The 5,689-nt window shown below is 46.1% G+C and overlaps 1 annotated feature.

Annotated features, from left to right (window-relative positions):
• Nucleotides 853-1,053: a silencer, noted in NCBI's record as "peak4343 fragment used in MPRA reporter construct". NCBI's record gives its function as "represses an SCP1 promoter by STARR-seq MPRAs in K562 erythroleukemia cells {active_cell/tissue: K562}" and the evidence as "EXISTENCE:reporter gene assay evidence [ECO:0000049][PMID:32103011]".

A 5,689-nucleotide genomic window follows, 5' to 3' on the forward strand; every position in this document is an offset into this window, starting at 1 on the left:
CCCACTGAAAATCAGCTTTGCTTTTTGACCACTTGGCCAGGCTGCAAATTTTCCAAACTTTTAAGTCCTGCTTCTCATTTAAATATAACTTTCAACTTGAGGTCATTTATTCAGTCACAGAGAAGACCACAGGCTGTTCAAAACAGACAAGACACCTCTTGCGCTTTGCTGCCTACTTCATTTCACCAGATATACCCTAAATTATCACTCTCAAGTTCAAAGTTTCAGAGGTCTCCAGGGCAGGAACACCATCCAGCCAAGTTCTTTGCTAAGGCAAAACAAAAGTAACCTTAACTCCTGTTCCCAGTAAGTTGCTCATTTTCATCTGAGACCTTCTAAGTCTGGCCTTCACTGTCCATCCTTCAGTCACTCTTTTAATTATAGCTATGTAACAAGTCTCTATGGTCACCGTTTTAATTTAACACATCTCTACAATAGTCCAAATTTTCCCTCATCTTTCTGTCTTCTTCCAAGCCCCCCAAACTGTGCAGCATCTGGTCGTTACCCACGTCTGAACCTGCTTCTACATTTTCAGCTACCGTTGTGGCAGCCTGGCAATGTGGTAAAAGAAGAAAAGTCCATTTTCAGGGGGAAAATTCAAGAAGCCTTCAGATATTTGCATATAGAAGAAGCCAAATGCTAATAGTAAAAAAAAAAAAGATGAAGAAACCTTGAGGGCATTTCATAGCTCCACTCTACAGTACAAATTTTCTGTAGTATTATTTTTAAAAGAGGTTTAACTGGCTCATGTTTCTGCAGGCTGTAAAGGCAGCAAGTGGCTTCTGCTTCTGGGAGGACTCAGGAAGCCTCCCAATCATACCAAAAGGCCAAGTGACAATGAGATGTTCCATATGGCAGGAGTAAGAAGAAGATACAGAGAAGAAAGAGGTGCCACACCCGGTTATACAACCAGATCTCATGAGAACTCACTATCAGAAGATCAGCCTCAGGAAGATTAACCAATGGTGAAGGATCCGCCCGCACCACCCCTCGCTGTTTCCAGGCGGAAGCCTCCTGCAGAGGCAGAACCTCTTGGAGAACCTCTACCAGCGCAGTGCAGAAGGAAAATATGAGCTTGTAGCCCCCACACAGGAGGCCACCATCCTCCAGACAGGAGATTGATAAACCCACCAACAGCTTGCACTCTCTGCGTGGAAAAGCTACAGGCACTCAACACCAGCCCAGCCCATGAGAGCAGCCATGGGGGCTACACCCTGCAAAGCCACAGGTGCACTGCCCTAGTAGAGACTTTCCATGAGCCTCTGCCTCTGCAGCAGGCTACTTCCCCCTCCTACTACCCACCACCCTATCACCACCCTACTAACAACGTACTCCTCACCCTACCAACCCCTTTTCCTTCCACCCCCGGCCCCCGAACATCCATGATTAAATCACCTCCAGCCAGGCCCCACCTCCAATATTAAGGATTACAATTCACATGAGTTTTGGTAAAGAAACACAGCCAAATCATATTATTCTGACCCTGATCCCCACAGTCTCATGTCCTTCTCACAGAGAAAAATATATTCATGCCTTTTCAAAAGTTTCCAGAAGTCTTAACTCATTCCAACATTAACTCAAATGTAAAAAAATCAACATCTCATCTGAGACAAGTCTACAGTACCTTTTGCCTATGAGTCCCTGAATTTAAAAGGATGTTCTTTTCTTTCAAGGTACAATAATGGTACAGGCTTTGGGTAAGATTTTTCAATCCAAAGGGAAGAAATTTCCCAGGAAGAAAACACAAATGGGACCACAGGCCCAATACAAGTCCAAAACCCAGAAGGCCAGTATCCATTCAATCTTACAGCTCCAAAATCATGAAGAGAACTCACTATCACAAGGACAGCAATAAGGAGAGTGTTTAATCATTTGTGAAGCATCCGTCCCCCACCCCCAATTTTCACTGCTCACCCGCACCATAAATCCCCCAGTCTCCCTAAGCCCCATCTTCCAACCCCCACCCTCCACCGTGATTAAATCACCTTCCTCCAGGCCCCACCTTTAACATTCCGATGACAATTCCACATGAGTTTTGGTAGAGACACAGAGCTGAATTTTATTATTCTGTCCCTGGCTCCCCAAATCTCATGTCCTTCTCACATTGCAAAATACAATGATGCCTTCCCTACAGTCCCCCAAAATCTTATATCATTACAGCATTTATACAAATGTTGAAAGCTTAAAGTCTCATCAGACACAAGGCTACAGTTTCTTAGGCCCATGAGCCTCTGAAATATAACGCAAGTTAACTACTTCCAAGGTACAATGCTTGTACAGGCATTGGGTAAGCATTCCCAGCCAAAAGGAAGAACGTTGCCGGAAAAAAACAAAACACAGATAGGACTTACCGGCCCCATGAAACTACAAACCCAGAAGGCCAGTCATTCCATCCTACAGTTCCAAAATCACCCTTTTTGAAACCTTGTCCCACATCCAGGGCACAGGGGTGTGAGGGCTGGGCTTCCAAGGCCTTGGGCAGCTTGGCACCTGTGGCTTTGCAGGGTTTATGCCCCACAGCTGGCCTCATGGGCTCGGCTGGTGTTGAGTGCCTGTGACTTTTCCTCACTGAGAATACAAGTTGTTGGGGGGTCTATGAATCTGGGGTCTGCATGATGGTGGCCTCCAGTGTGGGGGCTCCAACCCCATGTTTTCCTTCTGCACTGCCCTAGTAGAAGTTTCATATAAGGCTCTGCCTTTTTGGGGTGCTTTTGCCTGGACACCCAGGCATTTCCATACATCTTCCAAAATCTATAGAGAGGTTCCGAAGCCTCTAGTCTCATGCTCCGTCCGCCAGTGGCTTAACACTATGAGGAATTTACCAAGGCTTCTAGCCAGCACCCTCTGTAGCAGTGACCCAAGCTGTAGCTGTGCATCTTTCAATCATGGCTGGAGCTGGAGCTGGAGCTGGAGATGGAGCTGGAGATGGAGCTGCAGGGATGCAGGCAGCAGTGTCCTGAGGCTCCACACAGAGGGGGTCATGGAACTGGCCCAGGAAACTGTTCTTCTCTCCTAGGCCCCAGGGCCTGTAACAACAAGGGCTGCTGCAAAGGTCTCTGAAATGCCTTCAAGGCCTTTTCCCTATTGTCTTGTCTATTAGCACTGGGCTCCTTTTCATGCAAGTTTCCGAAGCCTTCCTCAATTTTCCCCCTGAAAATCAGCTTTTCTTTTGGACCACATGACCAGGCCGCAAATTTTCCAAACTTTTGAGTTCTGTTTCTCATGTAATGTAAGAGTTGGGACTCATTTAATGTAAGTCTCATCCAGAGGTCATTTCCTCCATCCCACATAAGAGCACAGGCTGTTCAATGGAAACAGGACAACTCTTGAGCTTTGCTGCTCAGTTCATTCCACCAGATACTCAGTAAATCATCACCCTCAAGTTCAAAGTTTCACAGATCTCCAGGGCGAGGTCACCGTGCAGCCACGTTCTTTGCTAAGGAAACAAAAGTAACTTTGACTTCTGTTCCCAGTAAGTGCTTCATTTTCATCTCAGACCTTCTAAGTCGGGCTTTCACTGACCATTTTCCTGTGAGCCTTCTGATCACAAATGTTTAACAATTCTTTACAAAGATCCAAACTTTCATTCATCTTCTTGTCTTCGAAGCCCTCCAAACTCTTCCGACCTCTGTCTGCTACTCCCTTCTGAACCTGCTTCTACATTATCACTATCTTTGCCACAGCCTGACAATGTGGTAAAGGAAAACAAGTCCATTTTCAGGGGGAAAATTCATGAAGCCTTCACATACTTGAATGAAAAGAAGCTGAGTGCTGATTGCCACGACAATGACATTTAATAGTTCCACTTTGCACTACTAATTTTCTCTATGATCATAAAGAAAAGAGGTTTAATTGGCTCATGATTCTGCAGGCTGTAAGGAAACACAGTGGCTTCTGAATCTGGGAGGACTCAGGATGCCTCCCAATCATACCAGAATGTCCAGGGGCAATGAGATGATTCATGTGGCAGGAGTAGGCACAAGACAGAGAGGAAAGAGGGCCACACCCTATTATACAACCAAATCTTATGTGAACTCACTATTACAAGGTCAGCATCATGAAGATGGTGCTTAAACATTGATGAAGGAACAACCACCCACACCCAACTCCCACTGTTTCCAAACAGAAGCCTGCTGCACAGGCAGAGCCTCTTGGAAAACCTGTACTAGGGCAGTGTGGAAGGAAAATATGAGCTTGGAGCCCCCACAGAGATGGCCACCACCCTCCAGACCCCAGATTCACAGACCCATCAGCAGCTCACACCCTCTGTGGAAAAGCTACAGGTTTTTCCAAACCTCAACACCAACCCAGCCCATGAAAGCATCTGCAGGGGCTCAACCCTGCAAAGCCACAGGTGGATTGCCCTAGTAGAGGTTTTCCATGAGGCTTTGCCTCAGCAGCAGGCTACTCCCCCTTCCTACTACCCCCAACCCTCCCACCATTCTACTGCCAGCCTACTCCTCCCCACCCCAACCAACCATTTTGTGATACCCTACCTTGTTTTAACCTGATCGACTCTCCCTTAGCTGAGGGAGCCAGGCAGACTCCATCTTGGCTGTTTCACTTGCAGCCCCTTACACACATCCCTTCCTCAAGGACATAACTTGTGCAAGCTGACTCCCAGCACATCAACGAATGCAATTACTGACAAGATACTGTGGCAAGCTATATCCACAGTTCCCAGGAATTCACCCCGTTGATGGTACCTAAAACCCCCGCATTTCTGTCCAGTTGATAGCACCCAAAGCCCCCACATCTATCACCTTTTGATGGATTTAAAGTCCCTGCACCTGGAACTGTTTGTTTTCCTGTAGCCATTTACCTTTTTAACTTTTTTGCCTGTTTTGCTTCTGTAAGATTGCTTCAACGAGGCCTCCCCTCCCCTTTCTAAACCAAAGTATAAAAGAAAATCTAGCCCCTTCTTCCGGGCCGAGAGAATTTTGAGCACTAGCGCTCTCTCAGTCGCTGGCAATAAAGGACTCCTGAAGTCGTCTCATGGTTTGGCGTTTCTCTACAACTCACTCGGTTACAACCCTTTTCCTTCCACCCCCCAACCCACCTCCAATCCATGATTAAATCATCGCCCCCAGGCCCCACTTTCAACATTCGGAATTACAATTCCACCTGAATTTTTTTAGGGACTCACAGCCAAACCATATTATTCTTACCCTGATATCCCAGAATCTCATGTCCTTATCACAGAGCAAAATACAATCATGCCTTTTCAAAAGTTCCAATAGCCTTAACTAATTCCAAGTGTAAAAAGTTCAAAGTCTCATCTGAGACAAGGCTACTGCCCCTTCTGCCTATGAGTCCCTGAATTTAAAAGAGATTTCTTTTCTTTCAAGGTACAATGATGGTAGAGGTATTGTGTAAGCTTTCTCAATCCAAAGGGAAGAAATTTCCCAGAAAAATAACACAAATGGGCCCACAGGCCCAGTGCAAGTCCAAAACCCAGCAGGACAGTATTCACTCAATCTCACAGCTCAAAAATCATTAAGAGAACTCATCGTCATGCGGAAAGCATTAAGGAGACAGTGTTTACCCATTTGTGAAGAATCTGTTCCCCCGCCCTCATCTTTCACTCCCATCCACAAAATAATCTCTCCCGTTCTCCCCACACCCCTACCTCCAACACCCACTCTTCTCCATGATTAAATCACCTCCCACCAGTTCCCACCTTTAACAT

Source organism: Homo sapiens, chromosome 21, assembly GCF_000001405.40.
Source record: "Homo sapiens chromosome 21, GRCh38.p14 Primary Assembly".
In the NCBI taxonomy this organism is placed as follows: Eukaryota; Metazoa; Chordata; class Mammalia; order Primates; family Hominidae; genus Homo; species Homo sapiens.